This window comes from Homo sapiens, chromosome 2, assembly GCF_000001405.40.
Source record: "Homo sapiens chromosome 2, GRCh38.p14 Primary Assembly".
NCBI classification, from domain to species: domain Eukaryota; kingdom Metazoa; phylum Chordata; class Mammalia; order Primates; family Hominidae; genus Homo; species Homo sapiens.
In genome coordinates this window covers 239,016,220-239,037,576 of record NC_000002.12, presented here as the reverse complement: position 1 = coordinate 239,037,576, position 21,357 = coordinate 239,016,220, and the positions used below count along the sequence as shown (strand labels likewise).

General features: G+C 52.2%; 1 annotated feature.

Annotated features, from left to right (window-relative positions):
- Nucleotides 1,079-1,698: an enhancer, noted in NCBI's record as "H3K27ac-H3K4me1 hESC enhancer chr2:239957575-239958194 (GRCh37/hg19 assembly coordinates)". NCBI's record gives its function as "activates a minimal SCP1, AML or CMV promoter by ChIP-STARR-seq in naive H9 embryonic stem cells {active_cell/tissue: H9 hESC(naive)}" and the evidence as "EXISTENCE:reporter gene assay evidence [ECO:0000049][PMID:30033119]".

Here is a 21,357-nt window from a genome sequence, read left to right as displayed (position 1 = left end):
GATTAGGACAGGGGGTGATTAGGTCCTGAAGGGAGAGTCGGAGAGAGGAGGCGGCTGGGGGTCTGGATGGCTTTGCACACGCACCACGGGAGAGTGGGAGAGAGGGGTGGCTGGGGGTCTGGATGGCTTGCACACACACCACGCACATGCTCCGAGGGAATTATTTTCTATCCCTAGGAATCCGCCAGCCCTGGAGAGGCACCTCCTCCAGTCAGTGAGACCCCGGATGCCAGGGCAGCACAAATGCAGCGAACAGGAAAGACAGAGAACCCACACGGCCTAGGCGAGCACCCCAGAGGGCACCCTCCACCTGCCGGCAGACGGCCCATCACACCAGGGGCTCTGCATCTGGGGTGCCCCAACAGTCTGTGGGGGCTTCAGAGCTCTGGGACCCCCTGAACACTGTGTGCAAAGTTCTCTAGGGGGAGGGCCTGTGTGTGCAAAGTTCTCTAGGGGGAGGGCATGGGGTCTTCATCTGATCCCAAGGAGGTCAGCTCCCCGCGTCTCGGGATGATTCTGAAGCCCTCAGCCCATCCTCGATGTCCTGAGCCCCCTGCTCGGCCCTCAGTGGGGCTGGCTGTTCTGCTGCTGCTACTCCATTGGTTTTTCCTTCTCTCCTGCAGGGCACCTCGGTTCAGGGACAGGTCTTGTTACCTGGGGCGGTAGGAGGTGCTCACAGAGTGTTTGGGGTACTCCCGAGGTCAGGGCTGAGCTACCAAGGTCAACACAGAAGAACAAGTGCAGGGTCTTGGATAGACCCTACCCAGCCTGGGAAGGCCCCGTGCTGCTGCTTCAGGGACGACGCTCTGCCCTGTGCCAAACCTGCAGTCGGGACTGTGCCCAGCAGCCCAGCCTGGGAGACTGATGGGTGAGGAGGCAGGGTCCTCCTGCCGGCCTTGGAGTGCAAAGGCAAGAGGGAAGCCAAGGAGAAAGCCCCCCAGAGGAGGGCTGGGCACCCTCCCCGGGCCTGCGTGCCAGACGCACCAGGCAGGAAGCAGGAGGGGGCGGGGCAGAGCAGGGCAGGGCAAGAGCAGGTTGGAGACTCCTGAGCAGCCTGGCCTGAGTCCCTGGATCCTTCCTGTGGCTGCGCTGTTTTCCCCTGTCCCCACTGTGGTGCCTGTGAGCCTCTGCTGTGGGTCGCAGCAGGAAAACCCTCTTCCCCCAGCCCGCTGGGCCCAGGCGGAGCTGGGACTGCAGATTCACCAAGGATGCCTGCGTGACCCTGTCCAGAGATTCTTTCCCGCCAAAAGCCAGCTGCATCCCACCCATCACCACAGGGACAGTGACGCCTGGCCAGGCAGGGGCATTCAGGTAGTGGCACTCTGCCCTCTTGCACCTCTGAAATGTTCGGGCTGCTTGGCAAAGGAGCTAAGAAGACTTAACGTGGCACACACTGCACGTTTCACAACTGAGTGACTGGGAGCCCCTGACCCCTGGCTGCCTCTCACCTGGGGACCCCACCTCCCCTGACCCCTGGCTGCCTCCCCCTGGGGACCCCACCTCCCCTGAACCCTCACTCCTGACCCCTGGCTGCCTCTCCCCTGGGGACCCCACCTCCCCTGACCCCTGACCCCTGGCTGCCTCTCCCCTGGGGACCCCACCTCCCCTGACCCCTGACCCTAACCCCTGGCTGCCTCCCCTGGGGTTTTGGCATCACTGGCACCTAGCCCCTCTGCTAATCTCTGCCCCCACCCAAGGCCCCTCCCACAGCTGGCCTGGGGAACTGAGTTGCTCATTAGGCCTGGTGGAGATTAATGTCATCAACTCCAGGCGATTTTCGCTGTCATTAACGGTGTCCAGTCCCCTCCAGCAGGAGGGAGGACGCGCCCACTGAGGCCGACTCTGGAGGCCTCCGAAGGCCGCGGTGCCCACGCGTGGAACGCCCTCCAGGCCTCGCTGCAAGGAGGTAGAGTGGCAGGGCTGCACGCACCTGACTCCAGGCTGGCCCAGTTTAGGAGACTTGGCCCACGGGGGAGCCCGCAGGAGAGCGGGGCTGCTAGGCTAGGGGGTGGGCGCGCCTGGCGGGGACCCCCACCTGCCCCGCCCCACCCCACCCTACCCGGCTGCTCCCACACCCAGGCCCCGCTGGGGAGGCTCGTGGACTCCATCGCCACCTGGTGGTGCTGCCTGGAACCGCGGCCTCATCCGGAGGCCCCACCCCACCCAGTGCCCGCCAGCCCTGGTCCCAAACCCTGACCCCAGCCAATGATGGAGGTGACAGTGGTGCGGCCTGCAGAAGCCAGGCGCCTCAAACCATTCCCCAATATTCTGGGGAGACACAAAACTGACAAAGTGAGACTCCCCCCACCCCCCTGGGAAGCGCAGGGCACTTTGGTGGACCTCCTCTGCGGTCTCCTCTGCCAGAGGATCCCAGGGCACAGTCCACCACTGCCCCATGGAGCAGCCCGTTGCTTTCTGGGCGGTGAGGACCCGGGACGTCCTGCCTCGTGCTGGGCCGGGATGGCTGCTCTGCACCCGCAGCTCCCACGTGGCCCTAAACACCTGCTTCACTCCTCACTGTCTACATGGGCTGCCAGGCACTGCCAGCCTCTCCAGGGGCTTTCATGGTGGGGACAGAGAACAGACATACAATGGCGTATGTCAGGATGCTGGGAGATGCGCCAACTAGGAAGGTAGGGCAGGGAGGTTGGGGGTGACGGAGGGGCAGGGCAGGGGGTGACAGGTAGGTGGGCCAGGGAGAGCAGGGAAGGGTTGCTGGGGACATGCCAGATGGTGCAGAGGAGGCAGGAGGCTGGGGGGTGGGGAGCAGGGCAGGAGGGCCTTGGCTTTGGACAGGATGAGCCGAGTTCTCTGTTAGTTTATTTAGAACCTTGGATAGTTGAGCCTAGAGCTTGAGAAATAGAAGCCTGGCTGGAAATAGAATCCTGAGCCTGTCAGCAGTTAGGTGGCATTTATGGCCACAACATGGAGCAAAATAACGAGGGAGCGAAATAACAAAGAAGAGAAGAAACACCGAGCCCCAGAAAAAGAGGCTGGAGAGAAGAGGAACCGGCAGAGGAGGCCAGGCAGGGTGAGCAGTGTGTGGGGCTGGGGAAACCCAGAGTGGGGGGCTCCAGCGATCAAGGGGTCAGCAGAGGGGAAGGTGCCATCCATGGACCGAGGAACAGCCGGGAGATTGAGCACCATGAGCACACAGCCCCCAACACCCCAGCTCCTCCGTGCTGCACACACACCCTCCTGGCACACCTGGGCACCCGCCAACCTGGTGTTCCACCGTAAGCACAGCACTGGGAACCAGATCCAACCATCAGGATGTGGTTCCCCCAGAGCGATGGGCAGGCCTCACTGGTCAGGACTTCGCGTCTGTTTCACCCTCATGATTGTCGTAAGACCTGCTGTTTACTGGGGCTTTACGATTTCCTGGAACTATGCCACATATTTACATATTGACTCCATCCAAACTGACAGCAGCCTGCCTGGAGAAGTAGGTGTTACTCTTTATGGAAGAATAAACTGAGGCTCCTAGAGGTCCAGAAACTTGACCAAGTTTCAGCAACTGGTTTTCAGTAGGAGCGCCACCATTGGTGCCAGGGCTGCCTCCTGATTCCAAAGCCCCAGGTAGGTACCCGCCAGGTGGCCTCCAGCCCCAGCCATATTTCCATTTGCATATTTGCACCTCATTAGCAACTTCTTTTGAGCTAGAAGACCTGAAAAATGCTCAGGACATTTTCAATTAATAAGTACTTCAAATGGAATTACAGAACTTTAGGTCACTGGTGCCTCCCAAATAGGGATGCTCAGCCAATCTGTGTGGTGTTGAAGAGCCTGGGGCAGGAACATAACCAACAGGTATTTACTGTTCTGGGCGTGTCCACGTGTTCTTCTGCAACCGCAGGTTCTATTGTCTAAACTCCCTGTAGTGAGTTGAGGGGTGCCCCCCAAAAAGATAGGTCCATGTTCTATAGTCTCTGGAACTTGTGAATGTGTCTCTGTAGATGTTAAGCTCAAGATTTTTTTTTCTTTTAGAGGGAGTCTCACTCTGTCACCCAGGCTGGAGTGCAGTGGTGTGAACTTGGCTTACTGCAACCTCCACCTCCCAGGTTCAAGCAATTCTCCTACCTCAGCCTCCTGAGTAGCTGGGACCACAGGCGTGTGCCACCATGCCCAGCTACTTTTTGTATTTTTAGTAGAGACAGGGTTTCATTATGTTGGCAGGGCTGGTCTTGAACTCCTGACCTCAGGTGATCCACCAGCCTCAGCCTCCCAAAGTGCTGGGATTACAGGCATGAGCCACCATGCCCGGCCCTGGTTATTATTTTTGTAAATACAATAAAGTATTTTGAGAAAATATTGGCAAAAAAAGTGAATAAATGTTAACAGTTGAATATTCTTAGTGGTGAGAAAGAGTGTTTTTTTATATTTATTTACTTACTATAGACTTAGAATTTATTTTAAAAACCTACTTTATACCACCAATATTATAACATTAAAGAAAATCACCAAAAAAGTTAAAATTGACTCATTATCAAAATAGACCAATAACAAGTGCAAAAAGTGAATTAGTAATTGAAGATCTTGCCACAAAAAAGCCCAGGCTCAGAATATTCACTGGTGAATTCTATCAAATATTTAACAAAATAGTACCAATTCTTCACAAACATAGGAAATAAACAAAGAGGCAACATTTATTCTCTGAGGCCAGTATACTCTAATACAAAAAATAACTAAAGTTATGACAAGAAAACTACAGACCAATATCAGGCATGAATTTAGACCCCAAGACCCTTATCAAACATTAGCACACTGAATCCAGCAACATATAAGGAGAATGATACACCACAACCAAGTGGGGTTTATCCCAGGAATGCAAGGTCAGTTTAACATTTCAATATCAATTAATTTAATACATCATGTTGATAGAATAGAGGTAAAAAACCACATGGTCATCTTGATAAACACAGAAAAAAACACTTAACAAAATCTCCCCACACACACACAAAAAATCCAACACCCATTCATGAAAAGAATTTTCACCAAACTAGAAATGAACTGGAACATCTTCATTTCTATTAAAGACATCTATAAAAATCCTGCAGCTAACATTATACCTAATGGTAAGAGACTGAATGCCTCCCACTTAGGATTGGGAAAAAGGTAAGGAGGTCCACTCTCTTCACATTCATTTAACATTTACTAGAGGTGCTAGCTAATGAAATAAGGCAAGGAAAAACTAAGGCATCTAGACTGAAAAAGAAGTAAAACTCTCTTTATTGACATATAATAGAAAACCCTGAAGAACCCACAAAACTAATAAATTTAGTAAATGAGTTTAGCAAGATTACTAGATACAAGATCAAAATCAACATATAAAAATCAAGTGTATTTCTATATACTAGCAGTGAATGATCAAAAAATGGAACTAAGAAACACTTCCATTTGCAATAGTATTAATAAAGAATAAAACTACTTAGGAATGAAACCAACAAAGGAAGTGCAAGACTTTTAAATTAAAAGCTAGAAAACTTTGCTGAGAGAAATTAAAGATCTAGATAACCTGGCGGGGACATTCTGTGTTTATGGATTGAAAGACTCAATGTTGTCAAGATTGTAATTCTTCCAAAATTGATGTATAGAGTCAATGAAATCTTGCTAAAACCCAGCAGGATTTTTGTGGTAGAAGTAGGCAAACTGACCATAAAATTTGCTTAGAAATGCAAAGAAATCCGAATAGCCAAAACAATTTTGAAAAAGAACAAAATGAGAGCACTTCCACCACCAGATTTTAAAACTTTCTGTAAAGCTATGGTAATCATCGCACACAGATCAATGGGAGACGATCGAGAGTTCAGAAATAAGCACGTCTATGGTCACCTGATTTTCAACAAAGCTGCCAAGACGGTCAATAAAGAAAAGATGGTCCTTTCAACAAATGGTGCTGGAGCAGTTAGATACCCAGGCAAAAAGACGAATTAGACCTTTACTGCATGTAATACACAAAAATTCACTCAAAGTGACTCATAGACCTAACTTAAAACTATAAAACTCTGAGAAAAAAAAACATAGGGGACAATCTTTGGGACCTTGGGTTAGGAAACAAGTTCTTAGATTTGATACTAAAAACATAATCCATAAAAATGATAAATTGGACTTCATCGAGATTGAAAGCTTTTATATATACATCATAAGACATGATTAAGATAATGAAAGACAAGCTTCAGACAGGAGAAAATGTTTTACAAATTATATATCTGGTGAAATATTTGAATCCAGGACATATAAAGAACTTTCATCATTCAATAACAAGATCAACAGCCTAATTAAAAATGGATAAAAGATATAAACAGCTATTTCACCAAAGCTGTACAAATGGCTAATAAGCCAAAAAGATGCCCAATATCATTAGTCTTAGGGTTAATGCAAATCAGAGACACCACCTCACCCCCACTGAAATGGCTGTCGTTAAAGAGACAATCACAAGTATTGGTGAGGACATGAAGCAATCAGAACCCTCGTTCACTGCTGGTGGAAATTTGAAATGGTGCGGCCACTTTGGAAAATAGTTTGGCCGTTTTTCTTCAAAATGCTAAACATAGTTACCTTATTAGCCAGCACCCCATGCCTGGGTACATACCCAAGAGAAATGAAACATACCCACCCAAGGACTTGTACGAGAATGCTCACAACGGCATGATTCACAACAGACAGCAGACTCAAATGCCCACTGGCTGGTGAGTGGATAAGCAAACGGTGGTCTGTCTATGCAGTAGAACATTACTCATCAACTCAAAACGAACAAAGTACAGACACATGCTACAACACGGATGTGTGTGAAGAACATCATGCTTAATGAAAGAATCAGATGCAAAAGACTTCACATTATGAGATTCCACTGATTTGAAGTGCTCAGGAAAGGCAAATCTATGGAGACAGAAGGCATTTCTGCAGGTGCCTGGTAGGGCTGGTATGGGAGCAGGGATTCACTGCAAATGGGCACAAGGGAACTTTTTGGTTTGGGGTGATAGAAATGCTTGAAACATGAAAATAAAACTGTGGTGACAGTTGCACAACGCTAGAAATTGACTAAAAAATCATTGAATTGTCACAACAGGTGGATTGCACGGTACCTAAATGAACCTCAATAAGAATAAATTATGTTAGAAATAAATCTTCTCTATAAGATCAGCATTCAAACAAAAATCACTGCCTTAGCTTTTCTAGGCTCTGTCATAGTCTGAGTGAAAACTCAAATGGGTTCATCAGCAGATCTGATTTTATTATTCATGGCTCCGTGGGATTCCACTTTACCAAGTCTGTCATAGTTGAAGGCAGGAAACCAAAATCACTCAAGTTATTTTAAGGAAGAATGTCAGTGCATGGAATGAGATGCTTATCATTGTGAAAGGGCTGAAGTCACAGGTGCCCAGCTGGACCTCACGCTTATCTCAGAGACAGCCCTGGAGCGACGCTGGTACCTGGTGGCCCCTCCTGAGCCCAGGGTGGCTGCCGCAGCGTCGCTCTTAACCTCTGTGCTGTGGGACCTCACTCCGGCATCGGGGAATGGTGATGAGAGTTTATGGATAAAGTCATTTTATTTGGGAAAAATTAATTCCTGGAAACATCAATAGAGTGTTCATTTACTCATTAAATAAATGCTTTTCTGTGGAAAGAAATGGTCTGTATGCACCACCACCCTGCACCCCCAAATCCCTTTGGCACCTTCTAGAATGGAGCGGCCAGGGAAGGTGTGAACAGCATTCACTCAGTCTGTTCTCTGTGACGTCCGTGAAGAGGGCCTCCCTGCACGCCCCTCGTAATGCTGTGGCTTCAGGTCTGCGTTCAGGTTTTCAAATGTGGACTTTGAGAAGGTACGTCCAGTCAGTGCTTCCCTAGCACTGTCCTGTGCTCAAGGTTTTAAGTACTGGCCAACTGGAACATTGTCTGTTTGGGTCAAATGTTCACTTGCATGTATCACTCGCCTCTCAGGGCCTGTTTTCCCGGCACGGGGCTACTCCTGGCCGGTTATTGATGCTGTTGTACCGTATGGACAGGGCACTGGCGCTACTGACATTCTCCAGTCATATATCGACTTCATTTTCAGAGCTTTACCAGGTGTTCACATTTTTTAGCCCCATATTCAAAGACGTCTTGGCTCTGACCTTCTCGTGCTGTTTCTGGCACCCCAAGTATGAGGCTCCCCTGGGTCCTCCAGGGCTGGCTTTGTCCCACACGGTCCCGCTGGCTGCAGGTGACTATTCAGATGAGACCCAAATTCATTAAAGTGAAATTCAATGAGAAGTCCTGTTCCTCAGCCCCTCAATCACATCTTGAGGGTTTTATAGCCAATGTGGCTTGTGGCTGCCGGAGCACACAGCTCAGAGACAGGACACATCCACCACCGCAGAAGACGCCTGGCACCTTGCACACGGGCTCACAGCAGCAACTGTGAGTCCTCTGCAGTTCTTTGTCCATTTCCCTTTGAGAAGTGACTTCTGAGGTGAGTGTGTCTTACCTTAGTGGGTTTGGAGCAGGTATTTGTCACCGACTCCCAAAGGAGGGGATGACTCGAGGGCCCTCGCACGGAGGAGGGCAGGGCCTTGAAAGTTGCCGACGTCAGGCCGGGTGCAGTAGCTCACGCCTGTAATCACTTTGGGAGGCCGAGGCAAGTGGATTGCCTGAGGTCAGGAGTTTGAGACCAGCCTGGCCAACATGGTGAAACGCTTTCTGTACTAAAAATACAAAAATTCACTGGGCGTGATGGTGGGTGCCTGTAATCCCAGCTCCTCAGGAGGCTCAGGCAGGAGGATCGCTTGAACCCGGGAGGTGGAGGTTGCAGTGAGCCGAGACCACACCACTGCACTCCAGCCTGGGCAACAAGAGTGAAACTCCATCTCAAAAAACAAACAAACAAACAAAAACAGCCGGTGACGTGGGTGAGAGGGCTCTGTGGTAGCAGGCAGCAACTGGAGCTGGAGAGAAGGATGAAGTTGGGATTTGATGAGCAAAGGGGTGCAGCTGGGACGGGCAGGACACACTCGCTCTGTCAGCACAGCCTGCTGCCACTCCAGGGAATCTCTGCTGTGGATTTTTTGCCATGGACTGTCCCTTCTGTGGCACCTGTGTCCCAGGTGGGCCCATGCCCCAAGGACAGCCTTCTGATGAGCTGCCCAGCAACCCTGACCCTCTGACCCCCAGGACCTGGCTCCCAGCGACAACCTGGGTTGGGAATTTGGCAGTGGGAGACCAAGGGCTGAGTCAGTCCCTGGGAAAGCTGAGCTGAAAATCATGAGGCTAGTTTGGGGTTGGGAGGCTCCCGTGGCCACAGGGCAGGGCGAGAGGAGGGACAGAACCCAGAAGCCAGGAGAAGAATCCCGAGGATGGAGCCGCTGGTCCCCTGGGCTGCCCAGCAGGGTTCGAGCCCCATGCTGCGCCTGGGCCCACCCGAGCGTGGCTCTGTGCCTTGTGGTCAACATGCCTGGGGGGAAACAAGGTGTCGGCAGCTGGGTCCCTGGCTGTGCGCGCAGCGTGGGCCACCACGCCAGACAAAAGACGCAACTCTGTTGGCTCAGCGGCGCTGTGTGTAGGGCGCGCCTTGGCCCGGCCCCTGTTTGGGGGAACATCTGGTTCTGATTGCGTTGTCCTAAAGATTAAAACTCTTCTGGGGCAGTGAGGGGAAGGGCTTGGTGGCCTGGAGTTATGGCGTCCCCTCCATAGGCGTGCCGGTCCTCGGGAGCTGCTGAAGGCCACCGGTAGGGACCCGCCGTCCTGGCCACTTGCTTGGCAGGACCTCCTGGAGTGCAGTGGCCACTGCTGGGGGCCCTGTGGGAGATTTGCTGAGAAACTGAGAAATGCCAGATTCACACCCGAGGCCTGGAGCTGAAATGGTGCTGACATGAGGGATGGCAGGGCTGACACGTGGCATAGACACGCAGGCCTGGAAGTGGGTCCATAACTCCTTCAGTTTCATTAGCGGTGGGGAGAACATCCTCTTATCACCCCAGACGTTCCCCGGCGCCATGCTCGCCCTGGGTCCTCAGGCAGACGAGGCCAGCATCGTCACGGGCTCTGAGGGCTGTGACGCCTGGTCCTCATGCAGCACTGCCAAGGTCACCAGGGAGGGACAGCGATCCTGGGTGGCTCAGACCAGTTCTTTATTTTTCTATTATTTGTTGTCTAAAACCCTCTGTTATTTTTATTTTTTCCTACTTTTCTCAGTGTCCTAAAAACCCTGCCAATATTTTAGAAAACATCACCTTGAATCAGATTCAAACTCGCCCCGCAGCTCCTGTCAAACTCAGCTCTGTGACCTGGGGACAATAAAACCGGCTGGGAGTGCCGGCCCAGGGTGGGCTGCATCTGAGGCTCTCCACGCATGACATTCTCCTGCCTTGGTTCTCTGGGATCTGGGCCCTTCCTGCTTCCAGCGCCACGTTCCTGTTGCTGACAACTTCCAGGAACGGCCCCCAGGAATGCACTGAGTGTGCTGACAGGGGGAGCATGCTAAGTGTGGGCTGCGAGGGATCTTTTCTCATCATCTATTGAGCTATCCACTCACTCTTCTTGTAACGCACGTCTAGTAATGTTCGCTCTGGACCGTTCCACTCAGGGAGGCTGAGGATTAGGCCACGCGACCTACAGGCCTGTGCTGGCTCGGGTGGCGCTAGCATGACTGCAGCTGGCTGTGCTGCAGGTGCTCCGGGACTGTGGCGGGGAAGACGCCCTGGCGGGGAAGAGAGCCCCGTGTGGATGGATGGAGCTGACAGCCTGGTTGGGCAGACACAGATCTCGTCCCTCTCTGCCCCCAGGATGTGCTGGTGTCTCTGCTGTAGGCAGACACAGCCCCGGTGCTGCCTCACCTCTCACCTGGCCTCCTTCTAGAAACGTGTTCCAGAAGGGACCAGAATAACTCATGCTTGGAACTACGAGGACATCCGTCATGTACCCAGGAAGCCTTTAAGGCAAAGTGATTTCAGCTAAAACAGCTTCTGTGTCGCTGGGACCCTGGGCCCCTCTCTGTGTCTCTGTGACCCGACCCCTCTGTGTCGCTGAGACCCTGGGCCCCTCTCTGTGTCGCTGGGACCCGACCCCTCTGTGTCGCTGGGACCCGGCCCCCTCTCTGTGTCGCTGGGACCCGGCCCCCTCTCTGCAATGGAGTTAAGAGAGAAAAACACGTGTGCAGGTGGGAGGATCTCTGAGTGCACACTCTGAGTGGTGGGAGGATCTCCGAGTGTGCACTCTGAGTGGTGGCAGGATCTCCGAGTGTGCACTCTGAGTGGTGGGAGGATCTCTGAGCGCACACTCTGCGTCTCGGGGGTCCACATGCTGCCTTGGGAGGTCTCTGCAAGGCCACTCCTCAGGCCAGGGCCTCCCTGGCAGCCTGGAGGCTGGAGCCTGAGGGAGACAGGGCCCTGGACAGGGTGGGCCAACGGTGGGGGCGGGCACACTGTTATTTATGAGTTTTCCTGGGGCTGCCAAAGTGAGAGGCGCTCCTAGGGTCTGACCCCCTGCCCGGCTCTGCGCTGGAGGGACGGCCGGGGCACAGCTGCAGCCACCCACAGAGGCAGCCACGTCCCAGCTGTGGGGGAGGTGAGCATGGGCAAAGCAGGGCACATACTTCTGTCCTAAAATAGATTTTATCTCAAAAAGAAAACAGATGGGGATGGAGATGATTTTTTTCTTCTGAAAAGTGCAGGAAGCAGCATAGAGCTGCCAAGCAGCTCCCTCTCCCACCCAGATGCAATTAGAAACTTCCAGAACCCACTTGGTGCAGAGCCCCCGGGACGACCTGGCCTGGGGGGGGCGGGGGGCGGGGTAGGGGGTTGAGGTGGGAGCAGCAGGTGGCCTGCATGGGGCTGCTGCGGACCCTCCGTCTCCCCAACCCCGCCATAGTGAAGGTGAAGCCACGTCAGAGGGCACAACGCGAGGGGCCCTGGTCCCAGCGGAACAGCAGAAGCGTGGATGCAGTCCCCACCCCCCGGATCCCTGCCACACCAGGACCATGGGTGTGGCAGGGACCATGTCTTGCGCAGGACCAGACACAGAGGAAGCCAGGCGGGCAGAGCTGAGCCTCCCTGGGAGACAGTACCCAGGCCAGTGTCTCCTGCCCTAGACAGCACCTCCAGGCCAGCGTCTCCTGGAGCAGACACACCCTCGGCTCTGCTGCTGGGGGTGGCTGAGCCACAAGGTTGGCAGAGGGGACCAGCAAACCCTGCAGAATGCGACCGTGGAGGAGTCTGGATGCAGGAGGCTGAGTTTCCTGGCTGCCTTTCCCACTTGCCTGTAAGTTTCTGTCTTGGGAACGCCCAAAAGTGTTAGCAGGTCTGTCTCATGATTAATGCTATCAGAGTAAAGTCTTGATTCAGCAGAATTCCTCCTGACTCGGTTTTTGCCACATGACTCACTGTCTAACATGGAGGGAACAATCACAAAGTTTCTCAGTGAAAACATCCCGCTTATTCACAGTGAACCTGGGGAGACCCTGAGTGTGGGTCACGAACACGATTCTCAGGTCCAGAGAGGGTTAGGATGAGATTTTATGATCAGGGATGATCAGAGATGTGGGTTTCCTTCTACTCTATGGATTACAGATTTGTACCCAAGTTAAGGACACATTTCTTCTTTGACAGTGTACCCTGTGGGCTTGAAGACTATGGCTGCAAGGTGTGTTTCTGCAGCAAGGGAGAGAAGACCCCTGGGCCTGCAGACCCCACACTGCGGGAGGAGCCCAAGAAATTCACGGACAATTCAAAGGCTTTGGTTTCCAAACAACACATGCAAAGCAAATATTCTGAGGCTTTACTCTGCAAATACACCTCACCATGGCACACAGCATATTCTTAGCTCAGATCTCATGACAAACAATAGTGGCCCCAAGTAGCTGAGGCTGCCACCGTGCTCTGTGGCCAGCACAAGTGGGGCCAAGCAGTGGGAAGGCCCTGGCTACTCTGGGCCAGGGACAGGCCTGTTTGTTCACAGGGATGTGGGAAGCCTGGAGTTCTCACTCTGCAGGACAACTTTATGGAAACCCTGGGCATCCTGAGCTCCCCACAGCCACCAGAAAACAGATGGAAACATGAAGAACAAGAGGGGGCCAGAACCAGGAGGGCAGCTGACACCCTAATCATGGCCACCAAGGGCAGTGAGTGTCTGCACACCCTCCTGTGGCCTCAGTGCCCTTCAGTGTGGCCCGGTCAACATTCCAGGAATGGCGGAGTCGTGAACTGCATTAGCAAGGGAGGCTGCCCCACCTGGAATGTGGGGCTGATATGGGTTGGCTGTGTCCCCACCCAAATCTCCTCCCGTAGTTCCCATAACCCCCAACGTGTCACGGGGAGGGACCAGGTGGAGGTAATTGAATCACAGGGGCGGTTTCCCCCATCCTGTTCTCATGAAAGGGAATGAGTTCTCGGAGAGCTGATGGTTTTATAAGGGGCTTCCCCCTTCACTGGGCACTCATTCTCCTTCCTGCCACCACATGAAGCAGGATGCGTCTGCCTCCCCTTTGGCCACGACTGTAAGTTCCCTGAGGCTTCCCTAGCCCTGTGGAACTGTGAGTCAATTAAACCTCTTTCCTTTATAAATTACCTGGTCTCAGGTAGTGCTTTATAGCAGCGTGAGAATGAACTAATGTAGGGGCTTACCTGGGGACCCTGCTCCAAGCCAACTGAGAGACAAGAGCTAAGGGTCACCATCCACAGAACAGCGGAGGCGGCTTCCAGACTTCCCACAGCCCCCCTGCAGGGCGTGGGGCTTGGGGGAAGAGGGCATGGCCTGGCTGCTGTTCTAAAGTCTCGATTCTTCTAAGGAGGACAGGGAGCACAGCCCAGACAGGAGCACATGCAGGACCTGGGCTGCCCATAGGGCCCACGGCTGCTGTGGCAGCAGCTGTTGGAGTGGAGGAAAGGGTGGAGTTCCTACCTCGCCACTGCCCTCTGCATGCAGCCAGCATCACCCTTTGGGTTTCTGTCTGTGGCGAAGTTTACAAACACTGAGCATCCTCCGTCCTTGAATTGAACTCGGCGCCAGAGAGGCCCCATCCTCGTGCAGTGGGGGAGGGAAGCCAAGGCAGCCCCTGGGCCCTGAGCAATCCCCCAACCCCCAGCCCCAGATTTTATGGCACTACCCATCAATGAGATAGACACTATGAGTGAAATTGGGGTGAAGAAAAAAAGTAAGAGGAAAAGAAATCAAGATGAAGCCAAGAATCAAAAGAGAACCCCAGATGCACACCAAGTGATTCTGTACAGTTGCTAGGGGTGGGTTGCAAATGAGGCTCTGAGTTTCCCAGCAGTCACAGCAAAGGGGGAACCAGCCCGACCTTAACATAACAACAAATATTTTTGCCCCAGTTCCCTAGAAGCCTCCAAAACAACCTGTGGAAGTCTTGGGGTTTTAGCTCATTGTTTTAAGGTCTTGGGTTTAAAATAAAGGACAGGGAGGGGAGAAATTACTTAACTTTAAAACAAGCTAACAGACTGGGAAAGGACAGCATTTTATAATTATTTTGTACCTCACAGAGTCACGGCGCTGTGTTGCAAAAACAGGGAGTGATTCATGGTATTTCTGGAAGTAAATCTCTCCTCTACATCTCCTCCATCACACCTCATCAGGGCCAGCATCACCCATCAGCTGTGTGTGTGTCTGTACGGACTCCCCACCGGCCCCACGTCTGCTGCCGTCAGACCCTCCTCCAGCCCCAGGAGTTACATCCCCAAATGGAGACCTCACTACCCACAAACAGTGAGTGGCTCTGGCCTTTTTTCCACCCTGGCCTCAGCTCAAATCCCCCTTCCCCAAGCTCCCCCCATGTATTTTTCTGGCTGTTTGCTTGTTCTGTTTATCCCCCTCCACTCAGACCTGATGTTGCCGGGACAGAGTCTGCCTCAGGCGGGTTCCTGGCTCTGGACAGTCAGTGCCACGCACAAGCTCTGGGTTGTTTCATCCATTTGCCAACAGCCAATTTGACGATTGATTCAAGCCAATGGCCAAGTTACTCCAAACTGTCAGATATGGTAGGCCCCGCTGACGGCTTGTCACAGCTGTTTTGCCATAAAGTTTGGGGAAGCGGTGAGAGCTGTGAGGATCTACCTCCTGGAAGGGACGATCCTGGGCTCACACCTCCAGGAAGCACAGCACAGCCTGGTGCACTGCGGGGTACAATAGCCATTGACTTGTCGTCTTCTGAGTCCCTGAAATAGTAACATTTTTGTAATCCAAGTTTCCAGTGTGTCTTTATAAATAATGATGGCAAAAACTAAGAGAAAGGCATTGTGTAATTTGAATCAGTGCCTACAGGGCTAAGTCTCCTAGAGGCCGGATCAGTGAGAGATGATCTGGACAAGCCTTTTGCTGTGACGCTCATCCAAGAGAGCTGTCCTGTGGGAGGACAAGCAGAGCGAGGGCAGCGAATATGATTATTACTGGATTTGATATTGGTGTTTCTTACAATATTTTCAGACATGTGCTTCTCAAACTTTCTGTGATGAAGAACCAGCTTTTTAAAATGTCCAATCCACTGTGGACTGATATTTTCATAAAATACAGGCAAAAATGCCCTGGCCGCATCAAGGGACAGCAAAGTATCTACATGCTTGCTCTCAGTTTCTGCCCAGACTCAAGGGGTAGTTCCAACAGCCATGGCCCTGCAGTGCTTGTGTGGTGTGTTCTTGACCCGGATAAGCTGCAGTGGGGCTCGTGGCTGGCGGACCATCCTCCCTACTCCCCGCCCAGCCGCTGAAGGCCACAGGGTCACTGCTCAGAAGTGGATGTGGCTGTCCAGTCTTCACCGACCCTTCCCGCTGGTGGATGCCTGGACACCCTTAAGCTTCCCGACACTTGGGTCATTTTGTGGTGATGTCATTGGCCACAACATGTGAAATCGAGCAGGTGGCACCAACTCTGACCACGCATCGGCCAACGTCAGCGAGGAAGCATGGCTTGAGCTGTAAATGGTAGCATTTCAGCCATTTCTTCTTCCCAAGTTTGACTGCTTCTCACCTTTGTGATGCACACACACAAAGGTAGAAACATTAGAGAGAGAGAGAACAAAGGGACAGCAGGAACGCCCTCCAGGACTCTGGGCGTGTCCCTGAGGAAAGACCTCTGCAAGCAGCCAGTTTCACCATTTGGGTTTCCGTCTGAGGGGATGTTTACAAACACTGAGCATCCCCAGTCCTTGAATTGAACTCGGCACCAGAGAGGCTTGCGGTGGGAGATGGAAGCCAAGACAGCCCCTGGGTCCTGAGCAATCCCCCGACCCCCAGCCCCAGACTTTATGGCACTACTGGCTAACAAGATAGACACTATGAGTGAAATTGAGGTGGAAAAAAAAATAAGAGGAAAAGAAATCAAGATGAAGCCAAGAATCAAAAGAGAACCACAAATGCACACCAAGTGATCCTGTATAGCTGCTAGGGGTGAGTTGCAAATTAGGCTCTGAGCTTCCTAGCAGTCATAGCAAAGCAGAAACCAGCCTGACCTTAAGATAACAACAGATATTTTTGCCCCACTTCCCTAGAAGCCTTCACAGAGGGAAAAACCTGGGTGCTGTGGGTTCTGCCTTGGGAGCATCATCCCTCCTAGACAATCCCAGAGGCCCACCACAAGCAGGAGCTGTCACTTCTGTGATGCGGAGGCCTGGCATATGGGGGGTCAGAGCCGTCATGGGTGAGTTGCTTGGTTGGTGAGTGGCCGAGCAGGCTCCCAACACCCGCTGGTCACTGTCACTGCCCAGTGGTTTTCTGCACCTCTGTCTTCACAAGCAGCTCTGTGGACTGGATAGGAAATGCACCTCTGACTGGTGCAGCTTTCTGAGGTCGGGAACAGCCTGCCCCAGAGGGAGGCAGGAGGGGGACGGTCTCCAGGAGGCTGCTCTGGGGGCCCGGATTTTCCTTTTGTTTGGTGGCCATCAGGTCCCTGGGGCTCCGCTCCCCTTCACCTCCAGCTTCAGTCCCTTCCTCGGGCACCAACTGGCCTCCCCGACGCGCCCTGCCTTAGAGCCTTGTTCTAGTCCGTGGGGGTTGCCGGCCAGTGACCGCCGCCTCCCACTCTCAGTGTGGCCTCGGAGCCTGAGTTTCCCAGGGCTCTTCTGTCTCACGTGGAGACTGCCCTCCTTGCACCCACAGCTGTTCAACCATGATGCGGTGCTTCCAAGCTGATCACTTCCACTCTCGTTTCTAGAAATTCCTCATTGTCCTTGAGATGGGGAGAGCCTGATCTGTTTTTCCAGCACAGTCAGGGACTAGTTCTTATGTTTCTTCTTCTTCTTCTTCTGTCATTTCACTGGGGCTCAGGGAGGAAGGACATAAACTTGGCTAACATTTTGAAGGGATGTCCCTGTTTTTGCCCTTGAGGGCTCAAAGGATGCTCTCTTCCTGAGTTTCCCCCACAGCAGGGCCTTCACACTGAGGCTGTACAGTGAAAATACAAGACTCCTAACTCTTTAAGCAAGCAAGAAAAAAACCCAAACTTCCCACCCTATTAAGGTGTTCCAATCTTATCTCACGAATGGGAGATTTTTTTGAGGCAGAAGGACCAGAGAAAGTGTCTGGTCCAAGCCTAGAACATTTTAGGAAGGAAGATGGAGGGCATGGCAATTTCTACACTTAGAAAAGTATTAGAGATCATTAAGGAGGTGCACCATGCTTCACAAGGATATTGATGGACTCTGTGTTTCTAATAGTTAAAGAATGGAGGCAGGTTAAATGCCCTCCAAAAAGGTCAGTTTATACAGTAAGAATGGCTCAACTAGGCAGGACTGAAAGGTTAGTGATTTGTGTATTGACTACGTCTGAAAGCTTAATCAACAAAATGTTACCAGCACTTAGCTCTGTGTGGTGAGATGAAAATTATACTTAAATTTTTTTTTGCTTATTTAAAATTGTGCTCCTTAAGTTTTCAACAAAAAATGCATATTGTTTTTTAATAAGAAAAAAGGTTACGAATTTAAATATAACAACCGGTGTTAAGACAAGGTGATGGCGGGGCCGAGGCTAGACCAACTGCATGTGCAAAATCCACAGCAGCGCATGACTGGGGCTGATCATCTGTGTCTCCAAGTGGCTTTGCGGGGAACCCTCAGGGACTTTCCCAGAAAGTTTCCCACCAGGTGATGGTGCTTTCGAGTGCTGGGTGCTCAGCAACTGCTGTGAAGGCACAGAGGCAGTGCCTGCCTGCAGGATGCTTCCAGTCCAGTGAGGGACAGACAGGAGGGCCCAACCTGGAGCAAAGTTTAGGGTGGCCACCCTGTAGGAGACAGGCAGGCAGGGGCCACGGGCACTCCCAGGTGGAGACCAGTTGCCTGGAAAGGTCAGGGCCACGTTGGTCTCCAGGCCGAGCACCCAGGCTGAGCAGAAGGTGCTCTGGCCGGGTTTACCACCTCACTTACCAACAGGCCCCCACCCCTCCCTGCCCCCACATGGGTGTCTGCCCAGGTGCAGTGTGCACAGGAAGGGGACAGGGCTCATTGAGAGTATGTGCAGGGGAATGTAGCAGGGCACAGTGCCCATGGTCCCTGGAGCCCCCTTGCTAGGTGTGTGCAGAGCCACCCTCAGCTCCTTGGGACCCTCTGCTCATGAGGCCTCCTTCCCCAAGAGGGAACCCCCAGATGCGGCTTGACAGGGGGCTGGGAAAGCACAGCCCATGGTGGAAAGGGGAAGATCTGACCCAACCTTGAACTTTTCTGGCAAGGAAGTAAAATCTGCGAAGAAATTCAGGGAGTCTGGGATTCTTCACTCTCTGCGGGACGTCTTGGGGGCGGTAAATCAGCGTGGGAAGGAGGCAGCAGGTGGGGAGGGCAGAGTGGGCGTGGGGGCTTTGACTTAAAAAGCTTTACTGTCTGGGAATGCCGGCATTCTGAACAGTGTGTGTGTGTGAGTATATGGGCGTGCACGTGTGCATATGTGTGCGTATGTGCACATGTGCATACGTGTGTGTGCACGTGTGTGTGTGCATATGTTCAGGTGTGCACTTGTATGTGTACATGCAGTTGTGACTTCTTTCACTTGCCTGAAGGAGAGGTAGGTTTGCCTCAAGGCTCTTGCAGCTGGGAAAGTGGGGACATCCCCAAAAGGCAGCTCGGCTTCCCTAGGCTGTGAGTGTGGGTGCTGCAGACCTGTGCTCAAGAGCAGCCTGGGTCACCCTTGATGGGCACTGCATGGGGCCTCACACCTGCAGCCGGGAGCCCTAGACAGGGACCAAAGGAATTTGCTCCCAGTGGTAGAGGAGAGAAGGCAGTCATACACGCACACCCACATGCTTACACACACACATACACATATATGCCCACCTGCTCTCTCTCACACACACAAACCCACCTGCTCAAATACATGTGCGTGCTCACATGCTCATACACACACACAAATCCACCTGCTCAAATACACGTGTGCTCACATGCTCACACACACACACAAATCCACCTGCTCAAATACACGTGTGCTCACATGCTCATACACACAAACCCACCTACTCACACAAATACACGTGTGTGCTCACATGCTCACACTTACACAAACCCACTTGCTCAAATACATGTGTGTGCTCACATGCTCATACACACGCACCCACCTGCTCACACAAATACACGTGCATGCTCACATGCTCATACATACACAAACCCACTCGCTCAAATACACGTGTGTGCTCCCATGCTCATACACACACACAAACCCACCTGCTCACACAAATACATGTGCTTGCTCACATGCTCATACACACACACACAAACCCACCTACTCAAATACACGTGCATGCTCACATGCTCGCTCACACACACACACAAACCCACCTGCTCATACACGTGTGCTCACATGCTCATACACACATACACACAAACCCACCTGCTCAAATACACGTGTGTGCTCACATGCTCATACACACACACAAACCCACCTGCTCACACTAACACACGTGTGCTCACATGCTCATACACACAAACCCACCTACTCAAACACGTGTGCTCACATGCTCATACACACAAACCCACCTGCTCAAATACACGTGTGTGCTCACATGCTCATATACACACACCCACTTGCTCAAATACATGTGCACACTCACATGCTCATACACACTTACACAAACCCACCTGCTCAAATACACGTGTGCTCACATGCTCATACACACAAACCCACCTACTCACACAAATACACGTGTGTGCTCACATGCTCATACACACACAAACCCACTTGCTCAAATACATGTGTGTGCTCACATGCTCATACACACGCACCCACCTGCTCACACAAATACACGTGCACGCTCACATGCTCATACATACACAAAACCACTCGCTCAAATACACGTGTGTGCTCCCATGCTCATACACACACACAAACCCACCTGCTCAAATACATGTGCGTGCTCACATGCTCATACACACACACACACACATGCTTGCACACACAGGCATATGCACAGGGATCCCTTGCATTTCAGTCGAAGATGCTCTAAAGGGCTGGGATCTTAAGTGATCAGAACAATAAACTTACAAGTGAATACCTGCAGATCAAGAATCAGAACGTCCCCTGTACCTCAGAACCTTCCCCATGCCTCCAAACTGTACTGTTTGCTTTCCTGGAAAGTCCAATCCATTTCTCTTACTTCCCTGAATGCAAATGGATCCATCCTGGGCCAAGCTCTTCCTCACTCGGTGGTACAAGAAAATTAGCCTGAACATCATACAAGGGAACGGCCAGGCTAAGTGATGCTGGAGCAGTGGGATCTCTGGTTCTTTAAGGTCAATGGGATTCACTCAAATCCTTCATGGTTCCTGCAACCGATCTTGGTGTCAGGGTATTAGAGGGCACAACAAAGAGCTGAATAAAGGCCCTGCCCCGAGGGGACATCCTGAGGCAACTGGGCAGGTAGAGACAATGCAGTGAAGTGTGACTAAAGGTGACCTTTGGATTGTGCAAAAGTTCTGCAGGTGAAACTGGTGGGAGCAGGGGCAGATAGCCCATCGTGGGCCACAGAAGGCCAGGACTTGGGCCCTGCAGGGCTTGTAGGAGCCATCTGAAGGCTCTTCTGAAAGGCTTGGGGGCCTGCCTGGAGGGTGGCGGGCACCCGAGCAGGCTCAGCCCCCTTTGGGTCCTGTGGCAGGGCCCTCACTGCTGTTCCCTGGCCTCCGGGAGCCGCCCTGCAGAGGTGGTCCTCCTGCAGAGGGACTGCTTGACCTATTTAAAAAGGTCTTCCCTCGATCCTTTGTGATGTCCTGAAGTGTTTACAGGATCAATACTGGCAATTATCAGGCTCTGAGGCTGCTGACCAAGCAATGACATCACACATGAACAGATTCCAGCGTCCTGTCCTATGCAATTGCTCTGGAGGGATAAAGGGCAGTATCTGATTAGATAGGAATCTTGCAAGGCTATGGATAGATGGGAGGAGGTGGGTGCTGGGAGC